At 44.1% G+C, this 20,909-nt stretch overlaps 1 protein-coding gene and 1 pseudogene across 16 annotated transcripts in view, besides 1 other annotated feature; one reads left to right on the top strand and one right to left on the bottom strand.

The window, feature by feature from the left end:
- ZDHHC11 (zDHHC palmitoyltransferase 11) overlaps window positions 1-20,909 on the top strand; it is a 64,959-nt gene that overhangs the window by 39,425 nt on the left and 4,625 nt on the right. For 14 of the 16 annotated variants that reach the window (XM_047417747.1, XM_047417746.1, XM_024446212.2 and 11 more), the window contains 3 exons: window positions 1,527-1,614; window positions 6,344-6,378; window positions 19,975-20,039. In XM_047417747.1, the coding sequence (XP_047273703.1) occupies window positions 1,527-1,614; window positions 6,344-6,378; window positions 19,975-20,032 (181 nt within the window). In that variant the 3' untranslated portion in view covers window positions 20,033-20,039. Of the gene's footprint in view, window positions 1-1,526; window positions 1,615-6,343; window positions 6,379-19,974; window positions 20,040-20,909 lie in introns of those variants that run through there. The other 2 variants (XR_007058638.1, XR_007058637.1) reach the window with 2 other exon arrangements.
- On the bottom strand, window positions 3,848-4,812 carry SPCS2P3 (signal peptidase complex subunit 2 pseudogene 3; annotated as a pseudogene).
- Window positions 9,530-9,699: a silencer, noted in NCBI's record as "fragment chr5:811555-811724 (GRCh37/hg19 assembly coordinates)". NCBI's record gives its function as "represses an EF-1alpha promoter that drives an FKBP-Casp9 reporter gene in an ReSE screen in K562 erythroleukemia cells {active_cell/tissue: K562}" and the evidence as "EXISTENCE:reporter gene assay evidence [ECO:0000049][PMID:32094911]".

Here is a 20,909-nt window from a genome sequence, read left to right as displayed (position 1 = left end):
AGACGTTATTCATATTTCCATTTGCTTCCTTTACATTTTGATTTTTCAGGCCAGTTGGGATTTATTGTTGTATTCAGGGAGTTAAGAGATAAGGTTATTTTATCCCAACGAAGTAACTGTTGGTTTTCACCTCATGTATTAAATATTGCACCTTTCCCCATCAAATTGAAAGGCCCCTTTTCTGGTTCACTGTGTTTCCCTAAACACAGGCCCAGGTCTGTGTCTGTCTCATGGGTCTGTGTCCTGGAGGTGCATCATCTGTTTAAATTACAGAACCTTATTTAGCTACTATATTTTAATATCCTGCAGGCAAATAAGCCTCTAAAGATTTTTTCATTTTTCATTTACTTTTGACAATTCTTACACATTTATTTTTCCATATGAGCTTTCAGATGACTTTGTCCAGTTCCTAGACACATGAAATTCAAGTTCCAGTTACATTAGTTACACACTTTCCATTGGGAGGGGACCACATCACAGCCCCCACAGAGAGGCAGCAAAGGTCCTGGAAGTCAGAGTCTCCACCATGGCCAGAAAGTGGAGTGCAGCCCCCCTTCCCCAGGTGTGCACCAGCCCCACCCCTCACAGACACCGGCAGGGGCTCAGCCCACAGCTTCCTGGGCAGAAGAGACAGGGCCTGTGTCCCTGGAAATGTCACCATCCCTTACTCCACAGCCAGAGGGCAAAGGGCTTCTTAGATCAGGACAAGGCCCTGTTGGTAATGATCACAACTGCAGAGAATTCATGCAGACTTTTGCTTAGTTCAGCAGTCAAGGTGTATGGCTTACTGGGAAAAGTTCATTCCCTTTCAAACGACCCATTAAGTCTTCTATGAAATTGCTTTTCTTAGAAGGGTAATTGGCAAAACTACTGTGTAGATCCGAAGCACTTGAATATCACTTCAAACTATCATGTAACTATGGTCTTTTAAGTAAAATACAAAAATGCTTTCTCTGTGATGCATTTTGGGCAAGATTAATAGAAATGTAACTATAACCGGAATTACAAACTTTCTCTCTAAAACCAAAACAAAAGGAAAAACTAAAGTTGTGTAATGATTGCCAAATCGACATGTATATGTTGTAGAAAATTAGGGAATGGCAAGGATTTCCAGGTAAAAATGAAGGTCACCTGACCCACCTGACACCCCTGTGACATGTATGATGTGCTGTTTTATAAAATTACAGTCACCTTGTAGCCCAGTGTAGACCAGCTACACTAACGGAGGACACTACCTGTCTAAGGCACTGGTCTAGGGTGGGGCTCGCAGACTTCAGGGAGGTACTGCTTTACAGAATCCAAGTGGGAAGGAGTCCTGGTCCTTTACACGAGAAGCTCCTTCTGTTTCCCACTGTGCAGTAACCCGGGAGCACTCACACAACCTCCCGGGAGCTGCTGGTCTCCAGTTTCTGAGACACATGGGCCCCACTGCAGTGGTGCTTACAGGACACACTGTAGCCTCCAGTGCCATCCTGAGCGCCCTACAAAACTGTGGTGTGTTTCTTTCCTTCTGTTTGCCCCACCAGAGCCAAGGCCAGGAACTCCCGGCTGATTTGCAGGCGCCTGTGTCAGTTCTCCACTCGTGTACACCCAGACGGGGGCTCGATGGCACAGGTAAGTTGCAATCACTGGCGCTGTCCCCGAGGACAGGGCCATGTGCAGAATGTGTGGTCTGAGGTCCCCCAAGCTGAGGTTAAGGTAGTATTCAAAAGGGAAGCACTCTGTGTCCAAGGGTGCTGCTCACATGGGAATGATGGTGGGTGGAGCACAGAAGAGAGATGGAGTGAGAGGCAGGAATGCTTCCCAGCTGTGGGTGAGAGAGACAGACGGGTACCAAAGTGGGAGCCCTCAGCACTGCAGTGCCACCATCAGGCTGCGGTGATGGGCAGATGCCCAGGGCAGGCTCTGAAGTGCCCAGAACATGCAGTGAGGGACAGTGCCGTGATAAAGGATGGAGGGAAATTGGTAGCCATGGCAGAAGCTGTGTGCTGTGGTTTTAAAATAAAATGCTTAGGAAAGACTGTGTGTAGGAGACAGATGGGAATAGAGATGTGTTTGTGGTCACATGTGCACGTATGTGTTGGTGTGGTTTTGTGTGTGGTGTGTGGTCATGTATATGTGTGTGAATGGTGTGTGTTTGTTACATGGATACATGGACTCTGTGTCCGTCCTTCACGGGAAAAGCCCTGTGTGGCTACCGGCTTTAGGGCCACATATTTCTGTTCCTGCTCTGGGGTCAGCTTCCAGCGGTTTCTACTGGGTTGTTATTTATTTTTTGGAGATGGGATCTCACTCTGTCACCCAGCATGGATTATAGTGGTGGGATAATGGCTCACTGCAGCCTCCACCTCCTGGGCTCAAGCGATCTTCCCACCTCAGCCTCCCGAGTAGCTGAAACTACAGGCGTGTGCCACCACACCCAGCCAATTTATTTCTTATTTCTTAAGAGATGGGGTCTCACTCTGTTGCCCGTGCTGGTTTGGAACTTCTGGTCTCAAGCAAGCCTCTGGCCTCAGCCTCCCATAGCAGGGCGATTACAGGCATGAGCCACTGTACTAGGCTGTGGGGGAATCCATCTGAGAAGGCTTTGTGAGGCGGCCAGCTTCTGGAGGTTACAGGTGTCTTCTCCTTCCCTGTTGGGGCAGGGCCGCCTCACCACACTTCCCCAGGACTTCAGGGAACAGGCTCTTGAGACTTGGAAATGAAAAGGGATCAGCCAGCCTGGAGGAACAGCGACGCTGGCGTCCAAGCCTTGCCCCTTCCCTGCACTTCCAGCAAAGATATGGAGACACTCAGTGGAAACCGATTGGGCCCCCAGCCTGCCCCGCCCAGACTCACCCACCAACGTTCCCTCACTCCATGTGGCACACAGGCTCACAGGATTTTCTCTGCCTGCAATCGTCCACATGCACACCTGCTGCCGGGGTGCAATTGTGAGTCCCCTCGGTCTCTCTGCAGCATCTCGGTGTAGATGACGATTTACAGTCACCCTTGTGTGAAGCCACATGAGGCCTGGTCTGAAGCAGAGAAGATCCGCTCAGCATCACGTTGGATCCCAAGCCCGCGTCTCCGTGGGCTCCAGGACAATCCTATGAAAATAACACCGTCGGTTCATTGTTCACATCGGGGAGGAGAATTCCATCTGAAAATGCACGTGACTTCACTGACACCCGCGTCCGTGGCACAGCCCTGTGCTGAGCTCCACAGACCTACAGTCCATCGCCTCCCCTTCGAGAGGGCCCAGGGCTGCAGACAGCGTTGTCCATAGAAGACACCCTGACTCGATGAATGGAACAAACTGGAAACTCCAGAAACAAGCCCTTCTTTATATTTCTGGTGTTTGGCTTAAATGGAAGGTGCCAAGGTGAGGCAATGGGGAGACATGGAAGGGTGTGTAATGAGTGTGCTGCAGCAGCTGCATAACCACATGCCAAACACACACACACAGCTCAGTCCCACCTAGAAAGCAGTGCACAATCCATCAGAGACCTCATATTTAGAGAGGAAAGTTTAACCTCCCTAGAAAACTCACAGAATATGTTTTTTTAATACTAAATATACAGTTGTCCTCTTAAATTGGTTAAGAGCACAAAACGTAACAGGCAGAAGGTCTGTTTCAAACAAATTAAAAAGCTATGTTTTTTCAAGTGTGTTTTTAAAGTTTTCCCCAAGTGAGATATATACATACCCACAAAAATAGTGTGTGAAGGAAAGCTGTCATACGGAAGGAGTTGTGTCCTGAATTCTTCAAGGAAACACATATGGAAATATGAATTGATAGAGACAGCAACACATTAATAATTTTTTAAAATTGAATCTTAAAATGCTGCATGGCACAAAGCTATAGTATAAAGTATTGATAAGTACAAAGGGAAAAGTCTGTACAGCTTTTAGCAAAAATGCTTTTGCAGAAAAGCAAATTAAAATAATGCAAACAGCATACCGAGGTGGCCACAGCTTGACCTCAGAGCTACAACTTCTCATATCTGTGTCAGAAAATCCTATGTATCCAGAATAGAGTAAAATTTCAGGACAAAACATGGACTTTTTAACAGTTCTTACTTTACCCATTTTAAGTTATTTTTATCTCCCCTACCCCCCAGGGCAGTAATTCAGCAAGATCCAGCAGAAAGAGGGCTATTTGATGTTTCTTCCCATGGGGAGAGTGTCAGGGAGCCTGGACATTTCAGGCTCATGCATCCATGACCAGTCTCCCACTGGGGTCAGAAAAATTCAGCCATAGACTTGGTGAACTTGGCTTCCCGCTGCTGCTTTGTTCTCCTGCTGATGAAGGTCAGCTTCAGGGTGTATCTGCCATCAAACCTTTTAAGACTGGAGGGCAGCTCCCAAATAGCATCAGAATCCACTCCTGTAGGCTCTTTTCTGTGGGCCACGAGAAAGATGGTCTTCTCCTTAGATGAGGTCTAAATAGTCAGAATTCCCATCATCACAAAGCCAAAACGGGCTTGGACTCTGGAAAGGGATGCATATAATCCCAAATCACAGCCACTATGGCAAAGCAACAGGAGATTGTACAGATGGTGAGGTGACCGTCAATTAGACAAAAATTCTCCACGTATTTGTATTTTTCCAGAAGTATCTTTTTGGCAGAATCATCCAGAGTTTTTCACAGCTGATCCATCCCACTTGTCCGTTTTTCCAGGCATATCACTTATCTTCGACTTATCCACATGCCGCTACGGCCACTGCCTGTCCCGCAGCTGGAACCCCCGCCAACCCCACCACCGCCTGCGCTACCGCCCCCCTCCCGCCCGTGCAGCTGCTGCCGCCATCTGTCCGCCTCTGAGTCTCCCTCCAGAGAATATCTTTGTGATCTTCTGTTAAGCAATGTCTTCTTTGATAGATCCCAAAAACATTATTTCCGAAAAAAGAAGAATAAATGTGACTTTAAGCATTTAAAAATTTCCCTTCAATTGACACCATTAAGAGAATGAAAATATAAGCCACAGACTGAAATAAAATATTTTCAAGTCATATACTTGTATCCAGAATATTTAAAGAATTTTCAAAACTCAGCAATAAGAAAACTCTGTTTTCAAATGGGCAAAAGATTTGAACACAAAACTTCCACAAGGCAATAATATGAACGACAAAGCACATGAAAAGCTGCTCAACATCATTTCCCACCTGGGATCCACGAGCTAAAACCACAATAAGATAGCATGGCACCCATGTTAGAAAGGCTACAATAAAAATGATCAACAAGATAAGCCAGGCACAGTGGCTCATGCCTGAAATCCCAGCACTTTGGGAGTCCAAGGAGGCAGAAGGATGGTTGGAGGCTAGGAGTTTGAGACCAGCCTGGGCAACCTATCTTTAAAAAAATTAATTTTTAAAAAGATGAACAATACCAAGTGTTGGTGAATATGTGGGAGAATTGGAAGTCTCATCCATTGCTGATGGGGATGAAAGATGATGCCACATCGCCAAGCAGTTTGGCAAAGCTTCTGATGCTGAGTAGGTACTTATGATATGACCCAACACTCTCACCCCCAGATTCTTACCCAAGAGCAATGAAAGCAAGACTCTGTCTCTAAAAAATATAATTAAAAAGAAGATGAACAATACCAAGTGTTGGTGAAGACATCGGAGAACTGGAAGTCTCATGTATTGCTCATGGGGATGAAAGATGATGCCACATTGGCGAGCAGTTTGGCAAAGCTTCAGATGCTGAGCATGTACTTATCATATGAGCCAGCACTCCCACTCCCAGGTTCTTAACCAAGAGCACTGAGAACAACGTGTGTGCACACATAGCAGGTGTTTTTCTTTGCTAGAGCTTCCACAAGCAGGAACCACACATGGGGTGTTGGAACAAGAAATGTATTTTCTCACATATCTGCAGGCTGGAAGTCCCAGAGCACGGTGTCTGCAGGGTTGGTGTCTCCCAAGGCCTCTCTCCTTGCCTTGTAGATGGCCACCTGTTCTCTGTGTCCTCCCAGTCTTCCCTCAGTTTGTGTCTCTGTCATAATCTCCCCTTCATAAAAGGACACCAGTCACTCTGGATTAGGGCTCACTCTAGTAGCCTCATCTAACATCCATTACCTCTTTCAAGACCCTGTCTCCACATATAGTCACATTCTGAGGTACTGGGAGTCAGGATGTCAACCTATGAATTTGGAGGAGGATATAGTTCAGCCCATAATACAAGGATTGGGAGGAAGGGTGCTGTGTCACCACTGAGATCCTATTCCATGATCCAGGCATTCTTGAAGTACCATTACTCAGAACTGACTAGTAATGAACTTGAATTTTAAGAATAAGTTTAATGTCAACAAGGTCTTTGTTCATCCTATGAATTTTGCATCCCTTCCCCCCACAGGAAGCAGATGATGCCCCGAGTATATCTACACTTGGGTAAGTTCGTAAGTTTAACGGGAACGTTTTGTCTGTCTCTACACTTGCCTGAACTCAAATTACATAGGAAAATATGTTCTCTATTTAACATGTTCAAATAATCTGATGACATAAGGGAAAGTAGAAATGTTTCTCTGAACATTTATAGCCATTCATGTGGCTTATTGCACTCATCTTACTTGAAAAAATTATAGAATTCTTTATAACTAACATTTGAACTTACGCACAAAAATAAGGCCAAGCGTAGTTATTTTCTTTCTTTAAACACGTGTAATGTTGTCAGCCTGAATGTTTTTTAATGTTTCTAATAGTGTTTCATTGAGAGTCAGATCTTGTCATTTCAACTCTAAATACATCCACTGATGACAGCTCTGCCCCAACACTGCACAATTCCAGCCCAACTGCACACCACTTTTTCACCCTCCAAACTACAAAGCTGAAAGAAGACCCTTATAAAGAGGACCATGATCCAGTTTTAAGCACACATTCTAAAGGGTACCCTGTTCCCATGATGAAATAAAATTGTACAGCCATGACAAATGCATATTCTTCCCAGAGAATCTCAAGTACAGGATACACTTCTCACAGAACATAGAGTAATAGGAAATCTACTCACACATGATGCTGAGTAAATTATTTACTCCTTGTTTGCTGTTTCATTTTTCTTTCCATAAAATGAACATATATTAACTTTATATTTTAAAAAGCAGCTTTATACAACATTTCCCAGAGTTTTAGGGTTTAGATATTGCGCTCCTACACTCTACTAAAGTTTCATCTAGAACCATTTAATACAACCTAAAAGAAAATGAAGTGGAAAGGTAAGAGTCATTGGCTCAAACCACCCCAGGTGCACAGACACAGGCACGTGCACACACACACACTCGCACACAGTCACACTCTCTCACACTGACACAGCCTCCTTCCTGCCTTCACCTCACATCTCAGTCCCCAGCCTGCCTGCCATATTCCTCCCATCACTGCAGGGAGTCCCAGCCGGCCCCACAGGGGAAGCCCCCACCCCAGCCTGCACAGAACAGCCCCGTGCTCTCTGGGCACACAGCAGCTGCAGCCGTCCTGGCCCAGGACCTCTGGGGTCTCTGCCACCATTCCAGTAGGTCATGCTGCTCAGGGGGGCCAGATGGCCAAACCAGGTAGGGCCCAGTGGACATAAGCCCAGTGACACGGCCGACATTATTCAGGGAGGGTGTGTGAGGGAGGCTGCTCGTGCTGGGAAGAAGGAGCACCCACACCTCATGGCTCGGAGCTGCTTGGGGTTCCTCTAGAGGCACCTGGGACCCCAGACTGCTGAGGTCACCGCATGCCTCCCGGTCTCCCCCTCACAGATGAGTGCACCCAGCTGGCCTCATCCTCCCAACCCAGCTGCCCTGGATCATGGAGGAACATTTATTTTTTTATTTTTTTATTTTTTTGAGACAGGGTCTTACTCTGTCACCCAGGCTGCAGTGCAGTGGCACAATCTCAGGTCACTACAACCTTTGCCACTTGGATTCTTGCAATCCACCCACCTCAGCCTCCCAAGTAGCTGGGACCACAGGCTCATGCCACCACACTGAGCCAACTTTTGTAGAGATGGGGTGTCACCATGTTGCCCACACTGGTCTCGAACTCCTGAGCTCAAGCGATTTGCCTGCCTCAGCCTCCTAAAGTGTTGGGACTACAGACATGAGTCACTGTGTCTGGCCATGGAGCAACATTTAGATGGGGGAGAATTTAATACCTAACTTATACTCAGAACTTATAACCTTGTTACATGCTAATTGTATCAGTTTGAAGATGATAGTATAGGTTAAAAATATTCTGCACCTCCCTTCCTGAATTTTAATTTCTTCAACAATATGGCATAGATTACACTCATGACGTTTCATATAGATGTGTTTTATTCTTGTCAGGAAATTCACCCTCTCATGATGTGCATATACCGTGGCTTAGTCAACCATTGTTCACTATGGGATATTAAGTTTATGACCAAGTTTAGGTTTTGCAAACAAAATTGCAAGAAGCACCTTTGTGCCAAGGTTGTCAGATACTGACAATATTGTTTTGTTTCTGTGGAACACTTAAAAGTCAAAGGGCATTTGCATTTTAAATCCTCATAGTTTCTTTTTACTTACTTTACCAAAAGGTTTAAACAATGCAAATTTCCTTCAATTTCCTCACCCTTTTCAGCACCAGATATTAGCAAGGTATTTTTAGTTTTATCCAAATAACACTTTTAATTGTTTCAATGTGCATTTTCCTTATTACTAATGAGACTGAACATATTGTCATTCTCTTTTTTACCGTTTCACAGTTCCTCTTGTATGAATTAGCTTTTCAAAGGTTTGCGCACTTTTAAATGGAGTTGTTTGTATTGTCGATACTAAGTGCTCTCTGCACGTTAGGGATAGTAATTCTCTGATCTGTGTGTTTCCAACGTATTTCTTTCAGTCTGTCTTTTAAAATTTTGTGTTTATCGTGTCTTTTGCAACGTGAAGTTCATAAATTTTTGTGAAGTCAGTTGTCAAATGTACCTGTCTTGCTTTAAAAAGTCTTTCTTACTCCAGGGTTATACCAAAATCATACAGAACTCTTTGCTGATATTTTTATAATTTTTCTGTTTTGACTTTCCTTATATTTTGATTTTCAAGCCATCTTCAACTTATTTTTGCATACAGGGAGAGAGCTAAGGTTACTTTATCTCGAAGACTTAAGTAATGGTTACCACCTCGTTTATGAAACAATACACCTTTCCATCTAATTCAAAGGCCCCCTTTTCTAGTGCTTGCCATAAGCACTAGACTCAGATCTGTTTCTACACGTTTATTTCTGCCTTGTGGATCTGTGTCCTAAACCGTGCTGTTTTAATTACTGGACCTTCTGAGCTACATTTTAATGTCCGACAGTCACTTTCTCAGGTTTTTTCATTTCTAAAAGTTTTGACAATTTTTAAACTTTAATTTTTTCATATAAGTTTGTTTGAAATTTATATGGAAAATACATTTTGTTTCGGTTCCAGGAAACCTGGAATTTGGAGCAAAATTATATTAAATATACACCTCATTTTGAGAGTGGCCGATAGCGTTTCCCTGGCATCCCAACTCCGCTGGGAGCCACAATAAGGACCCAGAAGTCAGTCTTCCCCAGGTGGGCAGAGGATGCAAGTTCCTGCCTTGCTCTTCCTGAGTTGCCCCAGAAGCTCCGTCCTTCACGGAAACGTGCTGGGGGCAGCGCCAGAGTTCCAGGCCAGGGAAGGCCAGCCGGGTTCTCCAGCTCAAGAGGCAGGCAGCTTCCTGGGTCAGAAAAAGTAGCCCAGGAGAAGTGCCCCATTCATCAATTTCTCAAATCTGAGAATTGCTTAAGAGTTTTGCCTAGTTTCAGCAATCAAGGATTACATATCACTTAGTGTGAAAATGCTCTTTCACACAACCCATTAATTTTCCTTGTAAACTGGTTTTCTTTGATTTAGTGAATTCAGGTTATTTTGGATTTTACTTTGAAGTATAGCCTATGGTTCTATTATTAGGTAAAAACTAAGACATTTTCTCCTTTATCCATTTCTGGCAAGAATGATAGAAAATTAATTGTGACCAGGATTGTAAACTTTCACTTTGAAAAAAAATATATGTTTTATCAGTACACATTCAAAATAGAAAATTGGGAAGTTACAAACATTCTTGGTGTAAAAACCTAAGTCACTCACAGTCCCCCCACCCACCAATGGCTACTGCAGGCATTTTGATTGGCACCTCCTGCAGCTTCCCTTTTAACATTTTTTCTGTGTATTAGACCCATTTTCTAAATGAAATTATCATTTAATACACCTCTTTAGGCACCTGCTTTTTAAACTCTACATTGTTGCGTTAAAGATGGGCATAAACCGCTCCATCTTTAAATCATATTCCTCTTTGTTGGAAGCCTTCTTCATTTCATTCAAGTCTTCTCCACAGGAGAATGAGCTAACCTTGTTGAATGTGAAAAGTGTTATACCAACACCACACGAGTTTACAAAGCCTCTAGATGCAACAGGCGATAAGTTACCATTAACCCTTTTTTTGTCACAGAATATGCTTCCAGGGTCACCTAACAGTTTGGATCCAGCTGGTCCACCTTATAGACTCACTCACAGCCTTTTACTTCAGGCTCTGCCTGCTGCGCACATTACAAACATCTGTTTCTAGCGATCAGGGACTTTGTTTAAATCATGTCACGCTTTGCCACACGGGGAAAGTCCATTCATTAAGAGCCTGTGAGGTGTGATGTTGCTAATCACAGGTCTATTTTGTGGGAAATGTGTAGGAATTTATAGTGTCTCTAGTGGTGGATATTAGACAAACCGATGGGGGATATTCTGGTCTGCGTGTTTGCTGTGGGATGTCGAAGGGAATGGGTGGACGTAGCTGACCAGCTGGAATGAAAGTGGGAACAGGGAGCAGGATTTCGCGTGTGAAGACCCTAATCCCCAGCGCCTCATTCAGTGGCTTGTATTAATTTTCCACTGGAGGTTGGAGCTGTTCCTTTGCATCATCCCCCTGCCAAGCATCCAGGGTGCTTTCCATGTAAGCGTCATGCCCAGGTGGTGTCTGTTGTGTAGTATACTCCCGAGCACTCACGCAGCCTCCCAGGAGCTGCCTGTTCCTGGGATCTGCTGACAAGCAGAAACCACGGTAATGGTGCTTGTCTGGAACTTTGGAGCCTTAATGGCCTCTTGTGAGCTCCTCCCCAAAGCGAGACCCTGCCTTGCTGACACATGGTCTTTCCTTCCTCCCGCGCTTCCTAGAAGAGGGGATCATGAGGAGCTCCTGTCTCCCTCCCAGGGCTTGAGCCTGAGCCCCGCTGCTGTTTGGCCTCTAGAAAGGACCTCGTCATCTGGGGTATCCCCAAAGCCGCTGGCCTCTTCCTTCCAGTGGGCAGCACAGAGCCTTCCTCCACAGTGGAGGTTACAACAATATTCCGAGTTGCTCGTTTGACTAATTGTAAGCATTCCTAGGTGTTTGAGTCTGTTCAGCCTGCTTCAACAGAAATACCACACACCGGGGGCTTAGGCAACAAACATGTATTTCTCACCATTCCAGAGCCTGGGAAGTCCCAGCTCAAGGCACTGGCAGATCCGGTGTCTGATGAGAGCCCCTTCCCGGTTCTCCGACGGCCTCCTCTGGTTGTCCTCACACAGCAGGGGAAGTCCCAGCTCAAGGCGCCGGCAGATCCGGTGTCTGATGAGAGCCCCTTCCGGGTTCTCCGATGGCCTCCTCTGCTTGTCCTCACAAGGCAGGGAGTTGAGAGTGAGATCTCACTCACATGCGTGTTCTGAAGGCACTCACGAATCCTGTCATCCGGGACCCACATTTGGGAGCTGACACCAAAGGCTCCGCTTTATGACACACAACGCTGGGGTTAGGACTTCAGCCTGTGAATCTGGGGACACAGGCTCACCATCTACAGGAAGGGTCCTGAAGGGTGCTGCTCCAACAGCAACAAAGGCCCAGAAGTGCCGTGTGTGCATCTCAGCGAGGGGTGCAGATGTCTGCAACCAGTCTGAAATGCGGCAGACCAGAGTGATGGGCAGACAGTTATGTGATGGGGTGGAGGACAAACATTAGCCCTGGTCGCTTCCAGGTGCTGGGTTCAGGTTTTGTTTGTTTTTTATTTTTTTGTAAAGCCTTTTCCAGTCCTGTTTATGTTTGAAATTTTAATAAAATATTGGGAAAACTGCATATAGGAGACAGGTGGGGAATAAATAGTGTGCGTGTGTGTGTGTGTGTGTGTGTGTGTGTGTAACTGATGGTCAAAAGATGGAGCATGTGGGGAGGCCGAGACAGCAGATAAAGAGGACAGGAGATCAAGACTGTCCTGGCTAACACGGTGAAACCCTGTCTCTACTAAAAATACAAAAGGATTAGCCAGGCGTAGTGGCAGGCACCTGTACTCCCAGCTACTCGGGAGGCTGAGGCAGGAGAATGGCGTGAACCCAGGAGGCGGAGCTTGCAGTGAGCCGAGATTGTGCCACTGCACTCCAGCCTGGGCGACAGAGCAAGACTGTCTCAAAAAAAAAAAAAAAATTAGCTAGGTTTGATGGCATGCTCCTGTAATCCCATTCCTCGGGAGGCTGAGGCAGGAGAATCGCTTGAACCTGGGAGGTGAAGGTTGCAGTGAACCAAGATCGTGCCACTGCACTCCAGCCTGGGTGACAGAGTGAGACTACGTCTCAAAATAAATAAATAAATAAAAAAGATGGAACACGTAAGTGTGTTGGAGACACATGCAGACGTCCAAAGGGAACTGAGTGAGGGAGTCTGGAAGTGGGGCATGGCTGGGAGCACTGATGACACAGCACAGGATGTGTGGACAGGTCTGAACCCACACCCAGAGGACAGCTCAGGCAGAGCAGAGGAGCTAGAGAGGAGAGGAGGGCAGATGCAGCTACCATAGGGCTGTCTCTCTGCACTGAGAGCTGAGCAGTCATACAGCCAGCAAAGGGTCTAAGGCTAAGGGTGCAGGTCCTCTCAGATGTCCTGCGTGCTCCCTCCCAAGAGGCTGCACAGCGAGGGGGAGGCTGCGCAACTTGACCCCTCCCATCCCCATGGGGCTGCAGTGCTCAGTTTTCCTTCTGTGGCACCAGAGATTCAGAAGGACCCACCTGAAGATCTAGGGTTTGTCTTTCAGTCCACTTAGGAGAGCCCCATTCTGACCACGGAAGGTCACACTCTGGCCCTTAACCCCAGTGGCCACAATCACTGAGAGTCTGATGGGGACTGGCCTGCACCCCCAGACCCCGCCTGTGGCCTTCTCTTAGCTGCAGGCTCAGTCCAGGACCTGCGTCTGATCCTGTTGCTCTGATATCCCCCAGAGGCATCCCAGGCTGACCTCTCTCACTCTTCACAGGAATGCAAAGCTCCTCTTAGCAGAGTGATCAGAAACTAATTGGCACCGTAACCTGCATTTGGACTTTGGCATCAGACAGACCTCGTTTCTGGGCCAGTGTGGAGATGCTGCTGGTTCTATAATCTCATAAGTTTTTAAACCACTCTGAGCCGCTATTCCTCACAAGGAAATGGGACATATTAGTATCTCTTCCCAAGAAGGTTGTGTGTGAGCTCCTGGAGTTGTGAACATCACTGCCCAGGGTCTGGCTTTGGGATGCCCAGTGAATGGTGGTTGCCTCTTTCCCCTTGTTTTGGATCCCAGGTGCCCAGAGTCACACGAATCCCAATCCTGGGTGGGAACAGATTCATCCTTGATCTGTGAGTGACCTGCTTCCTTCATTGACTCCGTATTTTGTTTATTTATGATAGTGGAGGAAGCACCAACAACAAAAGCAGAGTCTGACATCATCTTTGTCTGTTGAGACGGGGCCCCTATTCCAAGTCCTTGCACCCCGCTCATGCTCTTCATTCTCTTGCTTTCCTTCAAATTTTGTTCCTTAGATATCTATATAGATATAGTTGTATATTCCTAAAGAGTACATACATACGTGCAATACATTGGATACTTTTTCATTTTTTTTTTTAACAGAAAGGGCATTGTGTGTATGTAGTATCTGGAATCTTTGAGGAATCACCTTTTTCACTTGGTACTAAATTGCCAAGGTCTGTCCATACTGCTTGTCGCTGTAGTCTGTTGGCGTTTGCTTCTGTGGCTGTTCCACCCCGTACCACACTTAATTACCCCCTCTGCTATGGTTGGGCATGGAGATGGCTTCCAGTTTTTTGCTACCCAGCTGTGCTGCTTGATCTTGACAGATCTCCTGTTGTACAGGTGCAACCATTTCTCCCGGGGCTATTCCTAGTGGTGCAATTGCTAGAATGTCCAGCTCTCAGAGATAAGGCCACTGTTTTTTAAAGGTGTTGCACATGTTACACTCTCACAGCAGGGTATAAGAAGTCCTATTGCTTCATGTCCTCTCCAACACTTGGAATTGACAGTCGAGTAGTGTGAACTGGTGGCTTATTGTGGCCTTCTTCAGTATTTCCCTCATTATTAATGAATCTGAACACATGTGAGCCATACGAGTTTTCTCTTCCATGAAGCACTTGCTCATGTCCCTAGTCCATTTTTCCACTGGACTCTTTGTGCTTTTCTTATTGATTTATAGAGTTTTTATATATTCTTTATACAAACCTTTTGTCAGTTGGGTGAATTACAGATAGAGTCTGTCCATGTGCAGCTTAACTCCATGTTTAATTTAATATACCATTCTAGAAACCAGATCATGCATTACAATATAGTCATGTTTATACATATTGTATAAGTAATGCTTTTTGGTCTTGATTAATGAACCTTTTCACAAAATATCCAAAAGATAGCCATCTATTATTTCTACTAAGGGTTTTCAGTTTTGATTTTGAGAGCTAAGACTTTATCTTTGGTTGATTTCAGTGTATGGTGTGAGGTAGAGATCTAACTTCATTCTTCCCTCTATGGATTTGTATTGTTTCCAGCTCCATTCATTGAGCAGGCCCTCTCCCCACTGGCATAAAAAGCTTCTTCTGTCCTGAATTCCATTTATGCACATATTTGAGTCTATTTCTGGGCTGTCTAGTCAATTCCACTCATCAGTTTTGTCTATCCCTGCACTAATTTCTTATCATCTTACTTCCCATAGCTTAATAAGTTCTGAGAAGTAAGTACTCCCTCTCTCCCACGAAAGGCTGTAGTTATTCAGTATTATGATCACTAACCCCACTCTTTCCTTTCCAGCACCTCCCCCATTCTCCCACCTGCCACACCTCTGGTGTCCTGACGTCAGACCCTTCTTATCTCCTGTGGGGTGGCAGAGGCTAGCCGCTTGCTGTGTGGGGTCAGCAACATGTTCCATATATGAACACTTAGCTACCACCCTTGTGCTTAACCTCACATCCCACCCCCATCCTCGCTCCTCACCCTTGCCCCTGGGACCCTCCATATCTCAGGGCCCGGGAGCTTCTCTATTACTCAGTAAGGAAGACAACCTCCTTTAACTCAGCATCTTTGTCCACAGGCACTTCAGCTTTTTAAAAATCCAATCCGCCAATCCCTGACTTTTAATTAAAAAGTTCAATATATCTATCTATGTATATATATATAAAATGTTTAAAGTAATTACTGATAAGAAATGATTCACTTCTGCTATTTAGCTTTTTGCATTGTGTATATCATATATATTTTTATTTCTCAATTCCTGCCCATTTAAAAAATCTTTAGTTGAATGTTTGTAATGTTCCATTTTGATCCCTTTGTTCTTTCCTTTTTTGTACATTTTCTAATTATCTTCCTAGTGGTTATGCTGGGGATAATAATTAATGTCTTAAATGTATAACACCCTAGTTTGAATACCAATGTAGATTTTTTTTTGAGACAGGACTCAGTCTGTTGCCCAGGCTGGAGTGCACAGTGATAACTCACTACAACCTCCTACTCCTGGGCTCAAGCAATCTTTCCACCTCAACCTTCCAAGTAACTAGGACTACAGGCACACATCACCACGCCTGGCTAATTTTAAATTATTTTTGTGGAAATGGGGTATCAGTATGTTGCCAGGCTGGACTTGAACTCCTGGTCTCACACGATCCTCCCACTTTAGCCTCCCAAAGGCTAGGATTACAGGAGTAAGCCACTACAGTCAGCCCCAACTTAGTTTCAATAGTACACAAACACTGCTTTTATCCATCTCCATCCCTCACCCTTTATATTGCTGTTGTCATTGATTACATCTTTATACAGTGTGCACCCATTAACAATATTTATAATTATTGTAATATGCATTTGACTTTTAAATTATATAGAAAAAAAGAGTTACAAACCAAAAGTACAATATTATTGACTTGTATATTTACCTGTGTTCTTTATTTTTTTGCCAATGTTCTTTATTTCTTTGTATGGTTTTGAGTTACTGTCTAGTGTCTTCATTTAGGACTAAATAATTTATTTAATATTTCTTTTAGGGTAGGTCTGCTGATAATGAATTCCCTCAATTTTTGTCTATGTGAGAATGCCTTAGTTATTGCTTTATTCTGGAAGGATAGATTTGTCACATATAGAATTCTTGGTTGACAGGTATTTTCCACCTTCCAGGGCATTTAACTATGTCACCCCACTGCCTTTGAGCCTCCTTAGTTTCTAATGAGAAATCACCTGATAATTTTACTAAGGATCTCTTGATTCTGATTAGTCACTTCTCTCTGCCTGCCTTCAAAATTCTCTTGTTGTCTATGCCTTAACAATCTAACTGTAATGTGTCTTGGTGTAGATCTTTTGGCGTATAGCCTGCTTGGAATTCGTTGAGCTCCTTGGATGTGTAGATTCATTCCTTTAATTAGATTTGGAAAGTTTTCAGCCATTATTTCTTTAAATAGAGTAGTCTCCTGCTCCCCCATTATCTGTGGGGGATACGTTCCAAGACTCTCAGTAAGTATCTGAAACTGTAGATAGTACCAAACCCTGTATACACTATGTTTTTTCCTGTACATTAATGGGCAGATTGTGTATACAGCATGGATATGCTGGACAAAGGAATGATTCATGTCCTGGGTGGGCAGAGCAGGGCAGAATGATATTTCATCATGCTACTGAGAACTACACACAATTTAAAACTTGTGAATTGTTTATTTCTGGAATTTTCCATTTAATATTATTGGACTGTGGTTACCCAGAGGTAACTGAAAGTGCAGAAAACACAACTGCTGATAATGGGCGAACACTGTATTTTTTCTGCCTCTTTCCTTTTCTCTTCTACTTTGGAGACTCCTATGTTGCATATGTTGGTACCCTTGATGGTGTCTAACAAACCTTTCAAGCTCTGTTCATCTTCCTTAATCTTTTTTTTTTTTCTGGTCCTAAGACTGGATAATTTCGATTGTCTTCAACTTAGCTGATCCTTTCTTCTGCTTGCTCAAATCTGTTGAACTCTTCTAATGAACTTTTTATTTCAGTTATGTACTTTCCAGCTCCAGTTTCTTTTTGGTTTTTAAAAAATATATAATTTCTATCTCTACTACTAATCTAATTTGCTCATATGTAATTTTCCTACTTTATTTAGTTGTCAGTGACTTCCTGTAGTTTACTGAGCATATTTAAGACAGCTGATTTAATGTGTTTGACTAGTAGTTCAAATGTCTGAACTTTCACAGACATAGTTTATGCCAAGTCTTTTTCCCCTGTGAGTGGGCCATATTATTCTATTTCTTTATATGTTCTATAATTTTTTGTTAAAAACTGGACATTCTGTGTATCATAATATGGTAACTCTAAAAATCAAGTGCTTCTCCTCCTCTGGGACTGTGGATTTTCTCTTGTTAAAGGCTGGAACCATCAGTTTGTGCCCTTTCCAAAGTAGTTTTGCAAAATGTGTATTTCTTGTCACTGAAGTTGCTCTTCCTTTATCTCTATGACCAGTTAGTGAACTATCAAAGATTTCCTCAAATATCTAGCTACAAACAAGCTACAAACAAGGGGGGAATGTCTGTCTCTGTAAATCTTCCAAGGGATGCTGCTGGAGGAAGCCACTGCTGCCAAGTGGATCAAAACCAAGGCAAGCCTCTGTATTGATCCCTCAGGGCACCACCAGACTAACCAAAATGTACCACCTCAAATTTATTGAGGACAAGGTTCCTGATGCTCACTGTGACATCAGCCAGCTGCTCCAAGAATGTAGGTTGCTGCCCTTATAGCCACAGGAAGACTAAGAAATCGAGGCGGTAGCTGGCTCATGTACACCATTCACGAAAGACCAGCAGCTTCTCCTTTCTTTTTCTTTTTTTTTTTTGAGATAGAGTCTCGCTCTGTCGCCCAGGCTAGAGTGCAGTGGCACAATCTCTGCTCACTGCAAGCTCCACCTCCCAGGTTCACACCATTCTCCTGCCTCAGCCTCCCAAGTAACTGGGACTACAGGCACTAACCACCACATTTAGCTTTTTTTTTTTTTTTTTTTTTTTTTTTTTTTTTTTTTTTTTTTTTTTTTGTATTTTTGTATTTTTAGTAGAGACAGAGTTTCACCATGTTAGCCAGGATGGTCTCGATCTCCTGACCTCGTGATCCACCCACCTCGGTCTCCCAAAGTGCTGGGATTACAGGTGTGAGCCACCGCACCCAGCCCAGCTTCTCCTTTCTTCAAGCACTCTCCCATAGATGTCTGACCAGGTTGCAGAGTTTCCAAATAATTCATTGCAATTGCTCTTTATAGCTCAATGGTTGTTTCAGTGGAAGGACCAGCCTCTATAGCTTTCTACAATACCATTTTGTCTTTAGGTAAACTTCCTCTCCATTTTTATATACATACTTACACACTTTTACAACACAATTATCTACATTCTTCCCCACCAACCTGTATGTCTCACAATCCTCCACCATTTCACCTATCATACTTTGTCATGCCTTTATGTTTTCATTTGAAATTAATATTTTATTTTCTCTTTATTCTCAGTAATTTTTGGATTCGTTTGGTGATACCCCAGTTCTCCTTTGCTTACTGAGTCCTGTCACTTCCTTCTGTGCATTTTTTCCTAGCACTTCTCTGTGTCTACCAAGACTACTGCTCCCCCTGCAATAATCTGGTGGCAGACACTCCCATTGTTGCCTATGGTTTGGGAAGTCTTGCAGCAGCAGTCACTGCCTGGCCGCTCAGCCTACAAGTCCCCCAGCTAATCACCCCATCAGGAGCCCTGCCCAGCTGAGCATCCACTGCTCCTCTGTGGCAATTCCTGGGGGTCTCTTCCAGGTTCTGCAGCACACTCCTGACCATGGCCTTCTGCATCAGCTCCCATTTGCATCCTTTCCTTCTAGGAGTCATCATTTCTGATCCAAGAAAGGTTTCCCTCTTGCTTTTCTTTGATGTAATGTCCTTACTCATTTATGGATACATTTATATCCTGATTATAATTTTTAAGGATTGGATCAGAGAAGGGAGACTATAGCATGTGATGGATACGCAGTTTTGATTTAGAAGTCTCCTAGTGACTATTTTGCTTGTGGGTCTTTCAAAATCTTTCAAAGCAAAATTTTGCGTGTTTCTGGTGTCTAATTCCCGACACATTCAGCGTTGCAAGTTAAGCCCGATCTCCAACCCTCTGCAAAGTCTGGGCAGCAACACGGTCACTTCTACTGCCAGCTGGCCAGCACACATAAACAATCAAGTCATTAGCTGGCTGGGGTAGTGTAACATCAGGGCAGAGAACAAAACACCTGTACTCAAGATGTGGGTATAAAAACACTTAAGGCTCCCTGATAGCCAGAACTCATCACAATCAAGCAAGAGTTGTGAGAAGAAGGTACCAGGCATGAGCTGACCTCCTGTGGGCCCCACATTTCCCCACTTTTCATGCTGGAAATCCAAACAAGCCTCCTTGGCTACCACAAGACCCTCTTATTTATCAGGGAAAGCACACTTTGTCTCTATATCAGCACACATGCAGAAGAAAAAAGCAACATTCTTTCAGCAGTGCAGTCATGTTACTGTTTTCACAAAAATGAAGGCTCTGAAACTCAGAGAGGTGAAGTGATTGCCCACGTCACAAGCTAATCTCTAAAATGTACTCTTGTTTACACATTTTGTGCACTTTGGCATTATAACAAGTATTACATCATACGTTCTCTGTTGTTTCTCTTTCTGAATATTGCAAACAGGCTGCAACAAGAAACAACAGAGCCCATGAAAACTGACAGTGCTGAAAGTGAAGACTGAGATTCAGGTAAGATACGTGGCAGTGCGGGTCATGTTGAAATCTACCCAAGTTTGGTTCTCTAGAGAGTGAAATATCTTCTTTAAAAAATCACCAGTGCAAACTCAAGGGCTGGGCTGCTTGTCGTTTGTCTCTTGATGTCAACAGTAACCCCAGAACAGGAACCGTGTGTCCATCTTTAGAAGTAGTGCATGGCAGCCGAGCTGTGAGAGTATCAATTCATCTTTATTTTCTAGGCAGTAAACAATGTATAGATTGAACACCTCTCATTTCCATACTTGCCTTTAAGTCTAAACTAAGAATTATTTTCACCCAATTGTACTGATCTAAGAACTTTAAATAATGAACACCTGCCATTTTAAGATGGTCTCTGATTAGATGCCTCTGACCGTACCTATCCCTGCTTTCTGCTTAAACATTTAGGACGATCCATAGAATGCAGTGAAATTTAACCGTGAAACAAATGATCATTTACTTCCAGAATCAGGGGGAAAGTTTACTCACTAGAAGGCTAAAGGAATTTGCTATCAGGCACACACATGAGTTGGCAAACCATCCAGACATGCTCTGCCAGCAGAATAGGTAGACTGAGCACTTGAAAACAGAGGGGCATGCTCTCCCTCCACTACTATATCCCCTCAGCTAAGAAACATGAGACATGATTGTACCTTAAAATGAGACTGCAACCCTTTCTCTAAGGTGTTACCTTGGCTTTCCAAGGCAAAGCAAGCTGCTTTACACCCTGAAGTCTACCGTTCAGTACCTGCCTTCTCACAATGCTTCAGAGAGGCACCTCCCAAAAGCTAGCTGGACAGGAAAAGGGTATAGGGCATACTGTATCCTGAAAGGCATGATCCATACAAGAAAAGCCCTATGATC

The sequence above is a fragment of the Homo sapiens genome, chromosome 5 (assembly GCF_000001405.40).
Source record: "Homo sapiens chromosome 5, GRCh38.p14 Primary Assembly".
Classification (NCBI taxonomy): Eukaryota; Metazoa; Chordata; class Mammalia; order Primates; family Hominidae; genus Homo; species Homo sapiens.
This window is presented reverse-complemented; position numbering and strand designations above follow the sequence as displayed.